The sequence below is a fragment of the Homo sapiens genome, chromosome 9 (assembly GCF_000001405.40).
Source record: "Homo sapiens chromosome 9, GRCh38.p14 Primary Assembly".
NCBI lineage: Eukaryota > Metazoa > Chordata > Mammalia > Primates > Hominidae > Homo > Homo sapiens.
The window spans coordinates 38,555,648-38,575,754 of record NC_000009.12 but is presented as its reverse complement, the minus strand read 5'-3'; the positions used below and the strand labels follow the sequence as shown (position 1 = coordinate 38,575,754).

At 46.3% G+C, this 20,107-nt stretch overlaps 1 protein-coding gene and 1 pseudogene across 9 annotated transcripts in view, besides 1 other annotated feature; both read left to right on the top strand.

The window, feature by feature from the left end:
* Nucleotides 1–9,604, top strand: part of ANKRD18A (ankyrin repeat domain 18A) — a 54,446-nt gene extending 44,842 nt beyond the window's left edge. For 3 of the 9 annotated variants that reach the window (XM_011517839.4, XM_017014576.3, XM_024447482.2), the window contains 3 exons: nt 57–279; nt 3,696–3,749; nt 4,554–4,633. In XM_011517839.4, coding sequence (XP_011516141.1) covers nt 57–279; nt 3,696–3,710 — 238 coding nt within the window. In that variant the 3' untranslated portion in view covers nt 3,711–3,749; nt 4,554–4,633. Of the gene's footprint in view, nt 1–56; nt 280–2,625; nt 2,672–3,695; nt 4,392–4,553; nt 4,634–6,178; nt 6,355–6,507 lie in introns of those variants that run through there. The other 6 variants (NM_147195.4, NM_001331100.2, XM_024447483.2 and 3 more) reach the window with 5 other exon arrangements.
* Nucleotides 6,224–6,893: an enhancer, noted in NCBI's record as "H3K27ac-H3K4me1 hESC enhancer chr9:38568859-38569528 (GRCh37/hg19 assembly coordinates)". NCBI's record gives its function as "activates a minimal SCP1, AML or CMV promoter by ChIP-STARR-seq in primed H9 embryonic stem cells {active_cell/tissue: H9 hESC(primed)}" and the evidence as "EXISTENCE:reporter gene assay evidence [ECO:0000049][PMID:30033119]".
* On the top strand, nt 6,573–8,354 carry SNX18P3 (sorting nexin 18 pseudogene 3; annotated as a pseudogene).
* Nucleotides 9,605–20,107: the final 10,503 nt, after the last annotated feature.

The window sequence follows — 20,107 nt, the reverse complement described above, 5'->3', positions numbered from 1 at the left end:
AAGAATCATTCAAGGAAAAATGAAATACTAAGCATTTGTCTTTGCTCTCTTTACAGATCGGATAAGAAAATAGCAGTGATCAGCACCAAGCTCTTTACGGAGAAACAGCGGATGAAATATTTTCTCAGCACTCTTCCTACAAGGCCAGAACCAGAGTTACCTTGTGTTGAAAATCTTAATAGTATAGAACTCAACAGAAAATATATTCCCAAAACGGCCATAAGAATTCCTACTTCAAACCCACAGACTTCAAATAACTGCAAGAACTTCTTGACTGAGGTTAGTTATATGACCATTTCTCTTTTGGGTTTCATTTCTCTAATATAATTCTTGTCTATAATTTGATGAAATACTGAGTTCTGTTGACTTACGCATGTTAAGTAAAGATTATAATTAGCTGTGTTAACACAGAAAGGAAATGGAAACTTTACATTTTTTAATTCCCTGGAGCTCTCATTTTCAAGAGACACCCATTTGCTAACTTTATTCAATAAATGTGGTTAAACTGACACATTTAAAATTTCTTTAAAAGCTGCATTTAAGTTAGGTTTTAGAAAATGCATGTTATTGCCTAATAACTGATGGTATACTTTGAAATGCTTTGTCTTACTCTACTTGATTGTAGTTTGTCTGTGGTTCATATCACTTTTTTTTTTTTTTTGAGATGGTGTCTTGCTCTGTTGCCTAGGCTAGAGTGCAGTGGCATGATCTCAGCTCATTGCAACCTCTGCCTCCTGGGTTCAAGTGATTCTCCTGCCTCAGCCTCCCAAGTAGCTGGGACTACAGGTGTCTGCCACCACACCTGGCTAATTTTTGTATTTTTAGTAGAGATGGGATTTCACCATATTGGCCAGGCAGGTCTCGAACTCTTGACCTTGTTATCCACCCACCTCAGCCTCCCAAAGTGCTGGGATTACAGGGGTGAGCCTCTGTGCCCAGCCCATACCACTTTTAAAGTTTCTTTGCACCAACTTAACTCTTTCCACCCATAATCACAAGTGAATGACAGGCAACCAAACACTTAACAACATATAGATATTTATTATTTAATAGAACCCCAAATAAGTGCATTTTATGAATTAAATAAACAAAACACTGAAAGGTTCATTTCCATTTTTCTGTTAAAAGCTTTGTGCTTGGCCAGGTGTGGTGGCTCACACCTGTAATCCCAGCATTTTGGGAGGCCGAGGCAGGCGGATCACCTGAGGACAGGAGTTTGATACCAGCCTGGCCAACATGATGAAACCCCGTCTCTACTAAAACTACAAAAATTAGCCAGGTGTGGTGGCAGGCACCTGTAATCCCACATGCAGCAACCCCATTACTATACTAGGGTTATACCTAAAGGAAAATATAAATCATTGTAACAAAAAGATGCATGCACATGTATGTTCATTGCAGCACTATTCACAATAGCAAAGACATGGAGTCAATCCAGGTGCACCCAAGGTAGTTTGAAAATCCAAGGTAGATTGGAAAATTCCATATATACCAAATACTATGCAGCCATGAAAAGAATAAAATCATGTCCTTTGCAGCAACATGGATACAGCTGGAATCCACTATCCTAAGGAAACTAACGCAGAAACAGAAACCAAATATCTTGTTTGCTCTCATATGTGGGAGCTACACATCAGGTGCCCATTGACATAAACATGGGAACAATAGACACTGGGAAATAAGAATGGGGAGGGACAGAGTGGGCCAGGGTTGAAAAACTGCTTCTTGGGTCCTATGCTCACTACCTGTGTGATGGGTTCAATTGTACTCCAAACCTTAGCATTCCTCAATATACTTTTGGAAGAAACTTACACAGGTACCGCTTTAATTTAGAATACAAACTAGAAAAAAAAAAGAAAACTTTACATATTTTTTTCAGTAACTAAAGAATATAAATTTCTTTTTAAGAAAAAATTTATTTAAGTAAAAAATGGATTAAACTTTTGTAAAGGACAGAGTTTTGCTAAGAATTTCAAAGCAATGCATTCATTCATTGCAAAATGTGACTTTAATTGTTTAACCTTTTTTTTTTCTTTTTTTTGAGATGGAGTTTCGCTCTGTCACTAGGCTGGAGTGCCGTGGCACGATCTCGGCTCACTGCAACCTCCACCTCCTGGGTTCAAGCCATTTTCCTGCCTCAGCCTCCCGAGTAGCTGGGACTAGAGGCATGCACCACCACACCCAGCTAATTTTTGTATTTTTAGTAGAGATAGGGTTTCATCATGTTGGCCAGGATGGTCTCGATCTCTTGACTTTGTGATCTGCCCACATTTGCCTCCCAAAGTGCTGGGATTACAGGCATGAGCTGCTGTGCCCGGCCATTGTTTAACCTTTGTACAAATAAAACACCACCTTTCTAAAATTATGTATATCCAATAGACCAATATTATCTATTTTTGTCAGATTACTCTAAATAGCATTACACAGATACATCCTCTATTATCTAAACTTAGAATAAGTAGAAATTTTACTTTACTTAATGTGATTAATTTTCTATTTAAGCAAACTTTGTGTTATGTCTAGTCACTAAAAATACTAAGGGCCACATTTTGTAATATATTAATCTCATGATAATATTTCTTGTTTAACTTAAACATTATTATTATTATTATTTACTTATTTTAGATGGAGCTGGACCGTGTAGAACAAATAATTACAGGAACAAAGAAAAGTATGTTGCCAAAATGTATTAATTAAATTTAGGTTTATTTTAGTAATAAAGTGTAAATAGCAAATGGCATTCCTTTTCATTGTTGGGTTAGTAGATACTATATTCAGTATCTTTTTCTTACACACATCTAATGAAAGATGTGAAAACGAAAACTTTCACAGTGAAGAGTATACTTATGCATCATTAATTCATCATGTTCCATAGCTTAAAAAATTCCCAAGAAGTGGATCCATCTCTTTTTTACCAGCTCTACAATTTGTTCACTTTTGCCATCCTCATGGAACTGTCAGCCAGCACACTGAAACGATTCTCCAAAAACAAAGGCATCAGTTGGCTTACATCTGTTCTCAGGAAAAGTTCCAAAAATTTCACCATGAAATAAAAACACTCACATCAATGTAACTCTTGTCAGGTTACTCAGCCTTGTCTCTCACCACTTACTGCATTCTGCCCTTTGCTCTAGCACCAAAGTGGACAGAATAGAGCTCCGCAGGGCTCTTTGTTACCTCAGGATCTTTGCCTTCGCCTCTTCCCTCTATCTGGCAAGATTTTCCTCGTCCTTCAGTCATCAACCTATGTATCCCCTCCACCAGAAAGCCCATGATATTGACACAAAAGTGGGATAGATGTCCCTTCTGTATGTTCCAGTAGTGCCCTGCTGTATACCTGTCATGGTATCTATGACTCTATATGGACATTACCTGCCGGTCTTTTAGGTTATAGCATATGACTATTGGGAGGTGGACCATGCCATCTTCATCTTGTAATTCCAGTGCTGGCTCTAGTACCTTAGCACGTGGCTGTTGAGTACATGAATGAAGAATGAAAAAGCTGTGATATTTAACCACAATTGGAATTAACGCCATGTGTAAATGATTTAATAGTAATTTTGTATTGTAATTGCACGTACATATTTCTCATTCTTATTAACTCTGATAACGTTCTCAACTCCACATTTTAAACTTACACTTCGTTAACTGAAATGTTTTAGGTAAAGAACATAATCCTTTCTTTTTCTTTCCAGGTTTTGCTATGTTGAGCACTTGCTCCCGTCTACTTTCTTTTGTAGAATCCACTGGTAAGCCACATCTAATGAAGAGATTAACCATAAAATCTTAAGGAAAAGTTGTATGATTTAAAAGATCATAAAACTTTATTACTGGGCTATTTACATGAAATTTTAATTGTTTCTCATATAATATAAAACATCATAATCTTTACTAAAGTAGAATATTTTCATGTCACATATGGTGTATATTTATATGTTATTTTAAATGATGTTTTTTAGCCTCCTTAAGTTTTAAGTGGATCTTGCAAATGAACACCAGCGTTATTGAGTTTGGCCTACTCAAATTGCCTGAATGTCAGCTGTTTAAACAGCCAAACAACCAAGTCATCATTGATACTTTAGTAAAGGTCATCGAGGGCTTCTTTGCATTTTACAGTTTTTATTACCATATGTAGTAGGAGACTTAAAGAGTATCTGCCAGGTTTGTCCATACTAGTGTTACGGTTTTCTTCTTGTAGCTCAATAGTATTTTGTGTGGAGATACTTTGAAGCTCTGTAAATATCTGGTTACTCCTCAAAACCCACTAGATTTAGCATTTCATGGATGACTTGTGTTTGAACAAGTATTACTGTGATGGTTGCCAGATGATTGTTTTTCTTATTTTCTTCTTTGTTCTACATGGAGAAATAAAACCAATAAATAAAGGAGAAGGGAAAGCTCATGATTCTGGTGCTCCAGTTCCCCAAGATTAGGCCAGTGGTAGACATTTCAAGCTGACTTTATGTCTTTTTGAATTGTCCCCATTATTCTGTCAGCACTTTTTTACTTTCTGGCACAAGGTGTTCTAAACTAATGTATTTTCTCTGCGGCAGCACCAAGGAAGCACAGGCGAGCCCTTCCCATCATGCGCTCACTAGTCCCCAACAGAAGAACCACTGTCGCATCCACTGAGGTACCAAGAAACTAGCAAAGGGCCTTCTAGCTGTCTGGGGACAGTCCTCATGTGGTCCCTGGCTCAGCCTCAAGGGTTCTTGATTAGTCTCCCTGCAGTCTCTGTGCTGTGTCTCTAGGTCGGGGCTCTTCAGGAAGGGCCCTGGGAGACCCAGCAGCACAGGATGTCTTGTCTGCCAAATGTCCCTCCCTTCCTCCCACTCTGACACTCAGGAATAGGGAAGATGGCATGTCCAGGCAGTGCCAGGCCACCTCATTGTCTCCTTTGAGATGGGCCCAGAGGGCCTTGCGGGGTGAGTGTGAAGCTGGGTACCTGGAGCCTGAGGCTGACTCCCTCCCTGTGTCTTGGAGGAGAGGCCTTGCAGCCCAAGAAAACCCCCCAGGCCTGACCCCTGGGCACACATGCAGGGAGGGGAGGTTCTGTGAGCTGATGGTGGCATTGTAATGAGACTTTGAACACAGCTGCTCAAGGGCCTCGTCAGTGGACCATGGTCAGAGATGACCTAGCCATCACGACCTGGTCAGTTGGGACCTGATCAGCAGGGACCTGGTTAGTGGTGGCCGCCTCAGTGAAGGCCTCACCCAGTGGGTATCTTGTGACCTAGTCATTGGAAGCCTAGTCAGTGGGGACCTGGTCAGTGGTGCTCTTATTAGTGGGGCCTGATCGGTTGGAACATAAACAATAAAAAACTGGTCGGTGGGGTGTATTCAGTGTATTAGGGGTCTGGTCAGTGTGGGGCCTTAGTGGCTTGGAGCCTGGTCAGTGAGAGCCTGGTCAGAGGGGGCTCAGTCAGCTGGGGACTGATCCATGGAGAATTATTCAATGGGGGTGAGGTGAGCAGCAACCTGGTAAATTGTGGTCTTGTCAGTGCGAACCCAGTCAGTGGGGACCAGGTCAGTGGGAAATTGGTCAGTGGGGTCTGGTCCATGAGGCCTACTAATGGGGGCCTGGTTAGGGAGACATGGTCCGTGGGGACTTGGTCAGTGGGGCCTGGTCAATGGGGGAGTGCTCATTAGGGGCCTCGTTGGGGCCACCTGGTCAGTAGGAACCTGGCCAGTTAGCCGATGTGTGACCTCAGGCAGGGGGTTTGTCTGTGGAGCCTCTTTGCCTCCATCTGTAGGGAAGGTGAGTCAGGGCACCCTGGAGGGTGGCTGGAAAGAGAACGTGAGAAGATGTGTTGAATTCAGCACTGCTTGGCAGACCTCCAACTTTACACAGTACCTGGGTTCCACCTAGAAAGGGTGCCAGCCCTCTCTGCTCTGCTCGGCACCCCTCCTCTGTCTGCATCCCCAGGACCACCCTCAGTGGAGAGGGAAGAAATTGGGGAGCACCTGTGGGAGGCTCTAATCCTGGCCCTGGGCCCTGGTGGTGACAGTGATGAGGACCTGGGTGCACCTGTGAGTGGAGCAGCTAGGCCTGGCCAGAGAAGCAAGACAAACAAACACACCCATATGTACACACACACACGCATACACAAACACAATGCATGCACACATGTCAGTTCAGGGGATAGAGGACACCGACTCTGGGCCCTCTTGACCCAAGCAGGCTCCTGTTGTGGTGGGTTGTGTCACCCCACAATGTCACTCTTGCTGAGTCCCCATCGCCTCTGTGTTGTGGAGCAGTTAGAGACACGCAGCAGTCTCTGTGAGTGGCTCTGCATGAAGGATTGTTTTCTAGGTGAAAGGCACATCTCAACACAGCTGACTGATCGGACTCAGGTGAGTGGGACCTGCTCTCTTCTCTTCCTCCTGGCTTGGGGACAGTCGCTATCGGGTGGGTGGTTTTGGCCTCTGGGCAGCTACTGAGGGTAATCCCTGAGCACTCACCAGGTGCCTGTTCTGTGCTGACAGTCATCTCATTCATCCTTGCAGCAATTCCATTCTGCATCTCCTCTGGACACCCCCAGGACCACCAGGACAACCCCATCATGGCCCTGTCACCAGGCCCAGTCTCGCTCCGTGATAACCAAGATGCAGGTCCAGAGACAACCGCCCTACTTGGTTCCTGCATCTGACCCCCCTTGGTGGGTAGTGACCAGCCCAACATGGAAGAAGCCAGGGCAGCATGCAGCCAGCTGCCCTGCAGCCCCAGATGGCACCTGGGCCTTGGGAAGTCATTCTCAAAGGGGAAGCTGGAAACTTTGATGTCCCTGGAGGGAAGGGTGAACGTGGCATCCGAACAACCCTGGCAGCCAGCAGCATCTTGTCATCCAACCTGTGGGACAGAGGCCCCCTGCTGGGGAGCGAGATCCATACCTAAAGGGTCCTGGCCCAGTTGGGCCTCATCCTGGGCCCTGGGAGGGGAGGGGCACTATGGTCCCCCCAGCAGCAGTCAGCATTACCACCCAGGGGACTCAGCCTTCTGTGGCCCTGGCCAGAGTTAGAATTTGGCCCAAGACAGGACAAGCTCACTCAGAGCAGGGTGTCAGTACCCAGGACCTGTGCATGCCAGGCAAGGCCAAGCTGGCTCAAAGAGCAACCAGCCACCTCTGCAAGGGTGTGCCTGGAGCAAGTGGACCGGCCACCAACCTCACCCACTCAAGGAATCAGGGGTGGCCAGGTTCCCACAGCCTGAGGGGCTGCCACTTGACGGCTGATGGAGCAGAGGCCTGAGGAAAAGCAGATGGCACTGGGGCCCTACCTCCAGGGCAGAATAACTGATTTACCCTGACTGGCAGCGAGTGAGGTTGGTGGCTGGTCCACCTGCTCCTGGCACACCCTTGCAGAGGTGGCTGGTTGCTCTTTGAGCCAGCTTGGCCTTGCCTGGCATGCACAGGCCTCAATGCAACCACTGTGCTGCAGATGGAGCCACATAGAGGAAATGAGCAGCAGGCTCAGGAGCAGGCTGTGCGCTGCCTTTGGGGCTCCAGTCCATGCATGAGGGCTCCTACAGCACTGTGGGCTTCTTGGGTGCCAAGAGGCAGACCGCAGGCCATCTTGAGAAGGACTCCATGTTCAAGTGCAGAAAGGGCCCAATCTCGTGGATGAACCACATGGCCAGCTTCTGGGTGCAGGCACAGTGCCACGTCTTCCATCACTTCGTGATGTGCCACACCAGCACTGAAGAGACAGCCTGGAGACAGGGCAAGAGGAAGGCTGCGAAGGATGAGGTGGTGAATTCCAGCTTCTTCCTGACCCTGAGCCCACCCCCAAGGTGGCCCTCAACCTTTAAGAGTGGGAGAGCAAAATTGACGGCTTCGAGCGCTTCACCAAGAAGATGGACCACAGGGCACTCAGCTCAACTTCTCAGCCAATGAGTTGACATGCAAGCAGATTATGGTGACGGGCTTTAAGAAAGAGCATCAGAAGGTGGCCAGCTCTTCAGCCTCAGCCAGGTCTTGGAGCTGGACCAGGCCATCACTTCACCAGAGATGCCTTCAACACCGTCGGTGAGCTCTTTGCCAATCAGCCCAGCCAGGAACTGGACCCAGTCATGGACCTGTTAGTGCTGTCTCTGGGACACCAGGTCATCATCCTGGACATCATCCACATACACAAGGAAGCTCTTACCAAAGTCATGGAGAGCAGGCAACATGTGGCAGAAGGGAAGACAGAGATGCAGAGGCTGATGACATCAGAATCACAGGAACAGGATTTCTTTGGACACTGTGGCTGAAATTCACCACTTCCATCCAATTCCAGTGAGAAACATGGACTCACAGATGCAGCATTTCTTGCAACAAGAGATACTATTTTTTCAAAAGGTCACCCAGGAATTGATAGTGTTGAATGACTAGATACTCGATTGTGCACTGTTTCCAGTTCAAGGATGCTTTCTACAGCAGAATAATAACACTAGCAAAGAGATAGTGCCAGGTATTGGCGGTAGTACAAGGATGGCTTTGTTCTCAATTGAAACTCGGCTGAACATAGAATTGTGTAGGAAACAGTTAATATGGCGATAGAATAGAAACAGTAGCAAACATGACCTAAACCATGCTATGAATTCCTACACTACCATTGTAACTTTTGGAAGAATGATACCACTTACTTTATTGCTTTTTGAAGTATGAATATTTTCGTGTATATGCTGTAGACCTCAAACCCTGTGAAGAGTCTCAAAGAAGCTGGCTGGATAAAGCCTGCTGTGGATGTCTTTATATTCAAAGATTGATGATGCAATTTGAATATGTGTCCTCACCAAATCTCATGTTGAATTATATTTCCTAACGTTGAAGGTGGATCCTGGTCTAAGGTGATTGAATCCTGAAGGCAAATTTCTCATGAATGGTTCAGCACCATCCCCTTGCTACTGTCCTCACAATCATGAGTGACTTCTCATGACACCTGGTCATTGAAAACTCTATGTCACCTCCCTACTCTGCATGTTTTCCTCTTGCCGTGTGAGACAACTGACTCTTTCTTTGCCTTGCACAAAGATTGAAAGATTTCTGAGGCCTCCCAGAAGCAGAAGCCCTGTGCTTCCTGTCCACCCTGCAGAACCGTGAGCCAATTAAACCTCTTTTTCATAATGAATCATACAGAAAATGGCAAATGAGGACTGGAGCATTGCTATAAAGATACCTGAAAATGTGGAAGCAGCTTTGGAACTAGGTAATGGACAGAGGTTGGAAGAGTTTGGAGGGCTCAAAAGAAGACAGATGAGAAGGTTTGGACCATCTTAGAGACTGGTTAAATGGTTGTGACCAAAATCCTGACAGAAACATGGACAGTGAAGGCCAGGCTGAGGAGGTCTCAGATAGAAATAAGAAGCTTTCTGGAAAATGTCTTCCTTTTGGATATGGAAAGCTTACACAATGCCTGTACCACCACTGTACCTTAGAAGCAGTGATCTTGCATTTTATTTCAGAGGCTTATAGGCAAAAGAGGCTGCAGCCTTGACTCAGATGAGACTTTGAACTTTGTAACTTTGAGTTAATGCTGAAATGAGTTAAGACTCATGCTGGCAAGGCATGATTGTATTTTGCAATGTGAAAAGGACAAGAGATTCATGGGATCAGGGACAGAATAATATGGTTTGTCTCTATATCCCTATCAAAACCCATGTGGAATTATACTCCCTAACGTTAGAGGTGGGGCCTAGGTGGAAAAAGATTTAGTCATAAAATGGTGCAGGTAGATCCTCCACGAATGATAAAGCACCATCCCCTTGATGCTGTCCTCCTGATAGTGAGTGAGTTTTCATGTGATCTGGTTGTTTAACAGGCTGTGGAACCTCTTTTCCTCACTCTGTCTTCCTCCTACTCCTGCCATAGGAGACAGCTCATTGTCCCTTGGCCTTCTGGTATAATTAGGAGGCTCCCTGACTCCTCCCAGAAACAAAAGACACTATGCTTCCTTCACAGCCTGCAGAACCCTGAGTCAATGAAACCTCTTTTATTTAGGATAATACAGAAAATTAGAACTGCAGAGAGGAGCTGTGAAATGCCTTCAAGGCCTTTTTCCATTTGTCTTGGCCATTAGCACAGGGCTTCTTTATATGCAAATTTCTGAAGTCTTCTTGAATGTTCCCCCTTAAATCGGGTTTTGTGTTATTACTACATAGCCAACCCGCTATAGAGATACCTGAAAAAGTAGAAGCAGGTTCAGAAGTGGGTAACAAACAAAGATTGGGAGGGTTTGCAGGGATTGGAAAATGACAAAAAGATGAGGGCCTGGTGGGAGTGATTTAATCACGGATGGGAGGCGGGTGGGGTGGAAGGAAAAAGAGGTGGGCAGGGTGGGGAGGAGTAGGCTGGTGTAGGGTGGTGGAAGGGTGGGGTGTAGTGGGAGTGGGGAGTCGCCTGCTGCAGAGGCACAGCCTCATGGACAACCTGTGTTAGGGCAGTGCACCTGTGGCTTTGCAAGTTTTAGCCCCCACGGCTGCTCTCAAGGACTGGGCTACTGTTGAGTGCCTGTAGCTTTTCCACAGTGGGGGTGCAAGCTGTTGGTGGGTCTATGAATCTGGCTCTGCCTCTGCAGCAGGCTTCTGCCTGGAAACAGTGGGAGGTGGAGGTGGGGGTTGCGGGGGCAGATCCTTCACCAGTGGTTAAGCACCATCTTCTTGATGCTGACCTTGTGATACTGAGTTCTCATGAGATCTGGTTGTATAACAGGGCGGGCTCCTCTTTCCTCTCTCAGTCTTGCTTCTACTGCTGCCACATGAAGCATTTCCTTGCCCCTTGGCCTTCTGGTATGATTGGGAGGCTTCCTGAGTCCTCCCGGAAGCAGAAGCCACTATGCTTCCTTTACAGCCTGCAGAACCGTGAGCCAATTACACCTCTTTCTTTATGATTGTACACAAAATTAGTGCTGTGAAGTGGAGCTATGAAATGCCTTCAAGGCCTTTTCCCCATTGTGTTGGTAACCAGTACTCAGCTGCTTTTCATGAAGATATCTGAAGCCTTTGTGAATTTTTCCCCTGAAAATGGACTTTTCTTCTTTTACCACATTACCAGGCTGTGACAAAGATATCTGAGAATGTAGAAGCAGGTTCAGAAGTGGGTAAAACAGAGAGGTCAGGAGAGTTGGGAATGCTTAGAAGACAGCATGATGAGGAAAAATTTGGACCACTGAAAATAATTGTTAAATACTTGTGATCAGAAGGCTGACAGAAAGATGGACAGTGAAGGCCAGAATTAAAAGGTCTCAGATGAAAATGAGGAACATCTTGTGAACAGGAGCCAAGGTTACATTTGATTGGCCTTAGCCCTGGAGATCTCTGAAACTGTGAACATGGGGGTAACGATTTAGGATGTATCTGGTGGAATGAGCATCTAGGCAGCATAGCTCAAGAGGTGTCCTCTCTACATCCAACAGCCTGTGTTCTTATGTGTGACCTAAGAAATTACCTCAAGTTGCAACTTCTATTTAAATGAGAAGTAGAGCTCAAAAATTTGAAAAATTTGCAGCCTAGCCAAGTGGTCAAAAAGGAAAGCTGATTTTCAGGGGGAAAATTCAAGAGCACTTAAAGTATTTGCATAAAAAAAGAGCCCAGTGCAAATAGCCAAGACTATGGGGAAAAGGCCTTGAAGGCATTTCAGAGACCTTTGCAGCAGCCCTTGCTGTCATAGGCCCTGGGGAAGAGGAGAGAATTGTTTCCTGGGCCAGCTCCATGGCCTGGCTGCTGTGTGCATCCTCAGGACACTGCTGCCTGTATCCCTGCAGATCCGGCTCCAGCCATGGCTGAAAGATGCACAGGTACAGCTTGGGTCACTGCTTCAGAGGTGGCTCCAAGCCTTGATGGCTTCCACATAGTGTTAAGCCAGGAGGTGCACAGAGCAAGAGACTAGAGGCTTGGGAGCCTCTGTCTAGACTCCAGAGGATGTACAGAAAAGCCTGGGTGTCCAGGCAGAAGCCTTTCCAAGAGGCAGAGCCTCATGGGAAACCTTTACTAGGGCGGGAAAGAAGGGATGTATCAGGTGGAAGCCCTCACACAGGGAGGCACCATCCTTCAAACCCCAGATTCATAGACCCACCAACAGCTTGCCCCCTCAATGTGGGAAAGCTACAGTCACTCAACACCAGCCCCGTCCATGAGGGCAGCTGCGGGGACTGATCACTGCAAACCCACAGGTGGAGATCTGCCCAAAGCCTTTGGAGCCCAGCCCTCACACTCCTGTGCCGTGGATGTGGGACAAGGATTCCAAAAGGATGACTTTGGAGCTGTAGGATTGAATGACTGGCCTACTGGGTTTTGGACGTTCATGTATCCTGTGAGTCCCATCGGTGTTTTGTTTTTGTTTCTGGCAATTTTTCTTTTGTTGGCTGGGAATGCTTACCCATTGCCTGTACAATCATTGTACCTTGGAAGTAGTTAACTTGCTTTATAATTCAGAGACTCATGGGCGGAAGGGACTGTATCCTTGTCTCAGATGAAACTTTGGGCTTTACACATTTGAGTAAATGCTGGAATGAGTTAAGATTTGGGGGACTGTAGGAGAGGCATCATTGTATTTTGCAATGTGAGAAAGACAAATTTGCAGGGGCAGGCACAGAATAATACAATCTGGCTCTGTGTCCCACTGATGTGGAACTGTAATGGGAAATGTTAAAGGTGGGGTGCAGGTGGAAGGTGATTTAATCATGGTGGAGAGTGGAGGTTGGAAGGTGGGGGTGGTGGGGCGAATTGGGGAAAATTATGGTGGGGTTGGGGGTGAAAGGCGGGTGGGGGGCAGATCCTTCACAAATGGTTAAACACTGTCTCCTTAATACTGTCCTTGTGATAGTTCTCTTCATGATTTTGTGGCGGTGAGATTGAATGAATACTGTTCTGCTGGGTTTTGGATGTGCATTGGGCCTCTGGTCCCATTTGTGTTATTTTTCTGGGAAATTTCTTCCCCTTGGATTAAGACAGCTTACCCAATACCTGTGTCATCATTGTACCTTTAAAGAAATGAACTCCATTTTAACTTCAGAGACTCATAGGCGTAAGAGACTGTAGCCTTGTCTCGGATGAGACTTTGAACTTTTTATATTTGAGTTAATGCTGGAATGAGTTAAGGATTTTGGAAACTTTTGAAAAGGCATGATTGTATTTTACCCTGTGAGAAGGACATGAGATTTGGAAGGGTCAAGTTCGGAATACTATGGTTTGGCTGTGTTTCCCTAGAAAAACTCATGTGGAAGTGTAATCCTGAATTTTGGAGGTGAAGCCTGGTGGGAGGTGATTTAATCCTGGATGGAAGGAGGGTGGGGGTGTAAGGAAAAAGGGGTGGGGAGGGTGGGGACGAGTAGGCTGGCCATAGGATGGTGGGTAGTAGGAAGGGGGAGTAGCCTGCTGCAGAGGCAGAGGCTCATGGAAAACCTCTACTAGGACAGTGCCCCTGTGGCTTTGCAGGCTTTAGCCCCGTGGCTGCTCTCATGGGCTGGGCTGTTGTTTAATGCCTGTACCTTTTCCATACTGAGAGTATGAGCTGTTGTTGGGTCTATGAATCTGGGGTCTGGAGGATGGTGGCCTCCTGCATAGGGGCTCCAAGCCCATATTTTCCTTCTGCACTGCCCTAGTAGAGGTTTTCCAAGAGGCTCTGCCTCTGCAGCAGGCTTCTGCCTGGCAACAGTGAGGGGTGGAAGTGTGTTGGGGGGTGGATCTTTCACCAATGGTTAAGCACCATCTTCTTGATGCTGACCTTGTGATACTGAGTTCTCATGAGATCTGGTTGTATAACAGGCTGTGACACCTCTTTCCTCTCTCTGTCTTGCTCCTACTCTGGCCATATGCAACATTTTATTGCTGCTTGTCCTTCTGGTATAATTGAGAGGCTTCCTGAGTCCTCCCAGAAGCAGAAGTTACTATGCTTTCTTTACAGCCTACTGCAGAACTATAAGCCAATTAAACCCCTTTTTGTTATGATCTTACAGAAAATTAGTACTGCGAATTGAAGCTATGAAATGTCTTCAATGACTTTTCCCCATCACATTGGCTATTAATACTGGTCTTCCTTTTAGTGCAAATATCTGAAGCCTTCTTGAAGTTTGCCCCTGAAAATGGACTTTTTTTCCTTCTACATTGCCAGGCTGTGACAAAGATAGCTGAAAATATAAAAGCAGGTTCAGAAGTGGCTAACAGCCAGAGGTCGGAGAGTTTGGAGGACTTGGAAGAAGACAGGAAGATGAAGGAAAGTTTGGACCATTGTAGAGACTTGTTAAATACTTGTGATTAAAATGCTGACAGAAGGAGGGACAGTGAAGGCCAGGCTTATGAGGTCTCAGATGAAAATGAGGAACTTACTGGGAACAGGAGCCAAGGTTACTTTTGTTTTGCTGTAACAAAGAACATGGCTGCAGGGTGACCTTGCCCTGGAGATCTGTGAAACTTTAAACTTGAGGTTGATGATTCAGGGTGTATCTGGTGGAATGAACATCTAGGCAGCAAATCTCAAGACGTGTCCTCCCTGTGTCAAACAGCCTGTGCCTTTATGTGTGACCGAGGAAATGACCTCAAGTTGCAACTTATATTTAAATGACAAGCAGAGCTCAAAAGTTTGGAACATTTGCAGCCTGGCCAAGTGGTCAAAACAAAAGCTGATTTTCAGAGGGAAAATTCATGATGGCTTTAAAAATTTGCATAAAATGAAGGCCAGTGCTAATAGCCAACGCAATGGGGGAGAAAGCCTTGGAGGCATTTCAGAGATGTTTGCAGTAGCCCTTGTTGTCACAGGCCCTGGGACCTAGGAGAAAAGAATGGTTTCCTGGGCCATCTCCATGGCTCTGCTGCTGTGTGCAGCCTCAGGATACTGCTGCCTGCATCCCTGCAGCTCCAGCTCCAGCCTTGTCTCAAAGACGCACAGGTACAGCTTGGGACACCGCTTCAGAAGGTGCAAGCTATAAGCCTTGGTGGCTTCCACACAGTGTTAAGCCAATGGGTGCACAGAGCACTAGTTCAGAGGCTTGAGATCCTCCATATATATTTTGGAAGATATATGAAAGTGCCTGGGTGTCCAGACAGAAGGCTGCCAAAAAGGCAGAGCCTCATGGGAAACCTCTACTAGGGCAGTGCAGAAGGAAAATATGGGGTTGGAGCCCCCACACTGGAGGCCACCATCATGAAGACCCCAGATTCATAGACCCACCAAGAGCTTTGCACCCTCCATGGGTTAGAAACCCCAGGCACTCAACACCAGCACAGCCCATGAGGGCAGCTGCACAGGCTGAACACTGCAAAGCCACAGGTGAGCTGCCCAAGGCCTTGGGAGCCCAGCCCTCACGCCCTTGTGCCCTGGATGTGGGACAAGGATTAAAAAAGGATGACTTTGGAGCTGTGGGTTTGAATAACTGGCCTGCTGGGTTTTGGACTTTTCATGGAGCCTGTAAGTCCCATTTATGTTTTGTTCTCTCAGGCAAAAATCTTCCTTTTGGCTGGGAACTCAATGCCTGGACAATCATTGTACCTTGGAAGTAGTTAACTTGTTTGTATTTCAGAGGCTCAGGGGCAGAAGAGACTGCCTTTTCTCAGATGAGACATTGGGCTTTGGACATTTGAGTAAATGCTGGAATGAGTTAAGACCTTGTGGGACTGTAGGTAAGGCATCATTGTATTTTGCAAAGTGAGAAGTACATGAGATTGGGGGAGGCAGGGACAGAATAAGATTTGGCTGTGTGTCCCTACAGAAACTCATTTGGAATTGTAATTGGAAACGTTAAAAGTGGGGCCAGGTGGAAGATGATTTAATCATGGAGGACAGTGGGGGTTGGAAGGTGGGGATTGGGGAGGATGGGGGGATTATGGTGGGGGTGAGGGGTGAAAGGTGGGTGTTGGGGAGGATCCCTCACAAATGGTTAAACACCGTCTCCTTAATGCTTTCCTCATGATGGTGAGTTCTCGTGATGATTCTGGAGCTGTAAGATTGAATAGATACTGTCCTGCTTGGTTTTGGACTTGTACTGGGCCTGTGATCCCATTTGTGTTACTTTCCTGACAAATATCTTCCCTTTGGATTGAGAAAATTTACCCAATGCCTGTACCATCATCGTACCTTGAAAAAAAGACCTCCCTTTGAAATTCAGGGACTCATAGGCAAAAGGGACTGTAGACTTTTCTCAGATGAGATGTTGAACCTTTTACATTTGTGTTAACGCTGGAATGAGTTAAGGCTTTTGGCAACTTTTGAAAAGGCAAGATTGTATTTTACTCGCTGAGAAGGATATGATATTCGGGGGATCAGGGTCAGAATAATATGGTTTGGCTGTGTGTCTCTACCAAAACACATGGGAAATTGTAATTCCAAATGTTGCAGGTGTGGCCTGGTGGGAGGTGATTTATTCCTGTACTTGAGAGGGGTGGAGTTGGAAGTAAACAGAAGTGGGTAACGTTGGAGGAGTAGGTTGGCTGTAGGGTGGTGTGAGGGTGGTGGGTAGTAGGAAGTGGGAGTAGCCTGCTACAGAGGCAGAGGCTCATGGAAAACCTCTACTAGGGCAGTGCACCTGTGGCTTTGCAGGCTTTAGCCCCCATGGCTGCTCTCATGGACTGGGCTGGTGTTGAGTGCCTGTAGCTTTTCCATACTGAGGGTGGGAGCTTTTGGTGGGTCTATGACTCTAGGGTCTGGAGGATGGTGGTATCCCGCGTGGGGGCTCCAAACCCATATTTTCCTTCTGCACTGCCCTAGTAGAGGTTTTCCAAGAGGCTCTGCCTCTGCCTCAGACTTCTGCTTGGAAACACTGGGGGGTGGATGTGGGGTATTGGGTGGATCCTTCACCAATAGTTAAGCACCATCTTCTTGATGCTGATCTCCTGATACTGAGTTCTCTTGAGATCTGGTTGTATGACAGGATGTGGCATCTTTCCTCTGTCTTGCTTCTACTCCTGGAATATGAAACATTTCATTGCTGCTTGGCCTTCTGGTATAAATGGGAGGCTTCCTGAGTCCTCCTGAAAGCAGAAACCACTATGCTTTCCTTACAGCCTCCAGAACTGTGAGTCAATTCAACCTCTTTTCTTTATGTACATGCAGAAAATCAATGCTGTGAAGTGAAGCTATGAAATGCCTTCAAGGCCTTTTCCCCAATCTTTTGGCTGGTAGCACTGGGCTTCTTTGATGCTAATATCTGAAGCCTTCTTGAAGTTTTCCCCAGATAATGGACTTTTCTTCTTTTACCACATTGCCAGGCTGCGACAAAGATAGCTGAAAATGTAGAAGCAGGTTCGGAATTCGGTAATGGCCAGAGGTTAGAGCGTTTGGAGAGCTTGGAAGAAGACAGGAAGATGAGGGAAAGTTTGGACCATTGTAATGACTTGTTAGTTGTGATTAAAAGGCTGACAGAAGGATGGACAGTGAAGGCCAGGCTTAGAAGCTCTCAGATGAAAATGAGAAACTTACTGGGAACAGGGGCCAAGGTTTTGTTCTTTTGCCTTAGCAAAGAATTTGGCTGCACAGTGTCCCTGCTCCGGAGATCTGGGAAACTTTGAACTTGAGGGTGAAGATTTAGGGTCTATCTGGTGGAATGAACTTCTAAGCAGCAAAGCTCAAGAGTTGTCCTGCCTACGTCGAACAGCCTGTGGTATTATGTGTGACCAAAGAAATGACCTTGAGTTGAAACTTATATTTAAATGAGAAGCAGAGCTTAATCCTTTGGAAAATTTGCAACATGGCAAAGTGGTCAAAAAGAAAAGCTGAATTTCAGGGAGAAAATTCCAGAAGCCTTTGGATATTTGCATAAAAAAGGAGCCCAGTGCTAATAATTCAAGACAATGGGAAAAAAGGCCTCGAAGACATTTCAAAGACCTTTGTAGCAGCCCTTGTTGTCACTGGCCCTGGGGCTTAGGAAAAAAGAATGTTTTTTCTGGGCCAGCCCTATGGCCCCACTACTATGTGCAGCCTCAGGACACTGCTGCCTGCACCCCTACACCTTCATCTCCAGCTCCAGCCATGGCTGAAAGATGCACAGGCACAGCTTGGGTCACTGCTTCAGGGGTGCAAGCTCCAAGCCTTTGTGGCTTCCACATAGTGTTAAGCCAGCAGGTACACACAGCACAAAACTAGAGGCTTTGGAGCCTTTGTCTAGACTCCAGAGCATGTATGGGAAAGCCTGGGTGTCCAGGCAGAAGCTTTTCCAACAGGCAGAGCCTCATGGTAAACCTCTACTCGGGCATTGCAGAACAAGCATATAGGGTTGGAGCCCCCATACAGGGAGGCGCCATTTTCCAGACCCCAGATTCATAGACCCACCAACAGCTTGCACTCTTAGTGTTGAAAAGCTATTGGCACTCAACAGCAGCCCAGCCATTGAGGGCAGCTTTGGGGAAAGACCCTGCCATGCCACAGGTGCTGAGCTGCCCAAAGCCTTGGGAGCCCAGCCATCTCACCACCCTGTGCTCTGGATGTGAGATGTAGTTTCAAAAAAGATTATTTGGAGCTGTAGGATAGAATGAATGGCCTGCTAGGTTTTTGACTTGCATGGAGTCTGTAAGTCCCATCTGTGTTTTGCACTTCTTTCTGGCAAATTTCTTCTTTTTGTCTGGGAATGCTTACCCAATGCCTGGACAAGCATTATACCTTGGAAGTAGTTAACTTGCTTTGTATTTCAGAGGCTCAGGGATAGAAGGGACTGTAGCCTTGTCTCAGATGAGACTTTGGGCTTTGGACATTTGAGTAAATGCTGGGATGAGTTAAGACTTTGGGGGGCTGTAGAGAAGGCATCATTGTATCTTGCAGTGTGAGAGGGACATGAGATTTGGGGGGCCAGGGGCAGAATAATATGATTTGGCTCTGTGCCTCTACCAAAACTCATGTGTAATTGTAATGGGGAATGTTAAAGCTGGGGCTTGGTGGAAGGTGATTTATTCATGGTGGACAGTGGGGGTTGGAAGTGTGGGTGTGAGAAGAATGGGGGTTCATGGTGGGGGTGGTCGTGAAACATGGAGACCGGGGCAGATCCTTCACAAATGGTTAAACACTATCTCCTTAATCCTGTCTGTGTGATAGTGAGTTCTCATGATAAATGAATACTCTCCTGCTGGCTTCTGGGCTTGCACTGGGCCTGTGTCCCAATTGTGTTATTTTTCTGGGAAAATCTTCCCTTTGGATTGAGAAAGCTTACCCATCACTGTAACTTGAAAGAAAAGAACTCCCGTTTCCCTTCAGAGACTCATAGGCAGAAGGGACTGCAGCATTGTCCTGGATGAAACTTGAACTTATTACATTTGAGTTACTGCTGGAATGAGTTAAGACTTTTGGAAACTTTTCAAAAGGCACGTTTGTATTTTGCTCTGTGAGAAGGACATGAGATTAGGGGGTCTCAGGGTCAGAATAAAATGGTTTGGCTGTGTTTACCTACAAAAACTCATGGGGAATTGTGCTCCCGAATGTTGGAAGTGCAGCCTGGTGGGAGGTGATTGAACCATAAATGGGAGATTGGTGGGGGTGGAAGGAAAAACAAGTGTGTAGGGTCGGGAGGTGTAGGCTGGCAGTAGGGTGGTGGGAGGGTGGTGGGTAGTAGGAAGGGGGAGTAGCCTCCTGCAGAGGCAGAGGCTCATGGAAAACCTCTACCAGGGCAGTGCACCTGTGGCTTTGCAGGATTTAGCCCCATGGCTGCTCTCATGGGCTGGTCTGTTCTTGTGTGCCTGTAGCTTTTCCACACTGAGAATGTGAGGTGTTGGTGGGTCTATGAATCTGGGATCTGGAGGATGGTGGCCTCCTGCATGGGGGCTCCAAGCCCATATTTTCCTTCTGCACTGCCCTCGTAAGTTTTTGCAAGAGGCTCTGCCTCTGCAACAGGCTTCTGCCTGGAAACAGTGGGGGGTGGGGTGGTGGTAGGGGGTGGATCTTTCACCAATGGTTAAACACCATCTTCTTGATGCTGACCTTGTGATACTGAGTTCCAATGAGATCTCATTGTATAACAGTGTGGAACCTTCTCCTTTCTCTGTCTTGCTCCTACTTCTGCCATATAAAATAGCCCATTGCTGCTTGGTCTTCTGGTATGATTGGGAGGCTTCATGATTCCTCCTAGGAGCAGGAGCCTCTATGATTCCTTTAAAGCCTGCAGAGCCATGAGCCAGTTCAACATCTTTTCTTTATGATCTTACAGAAAATTA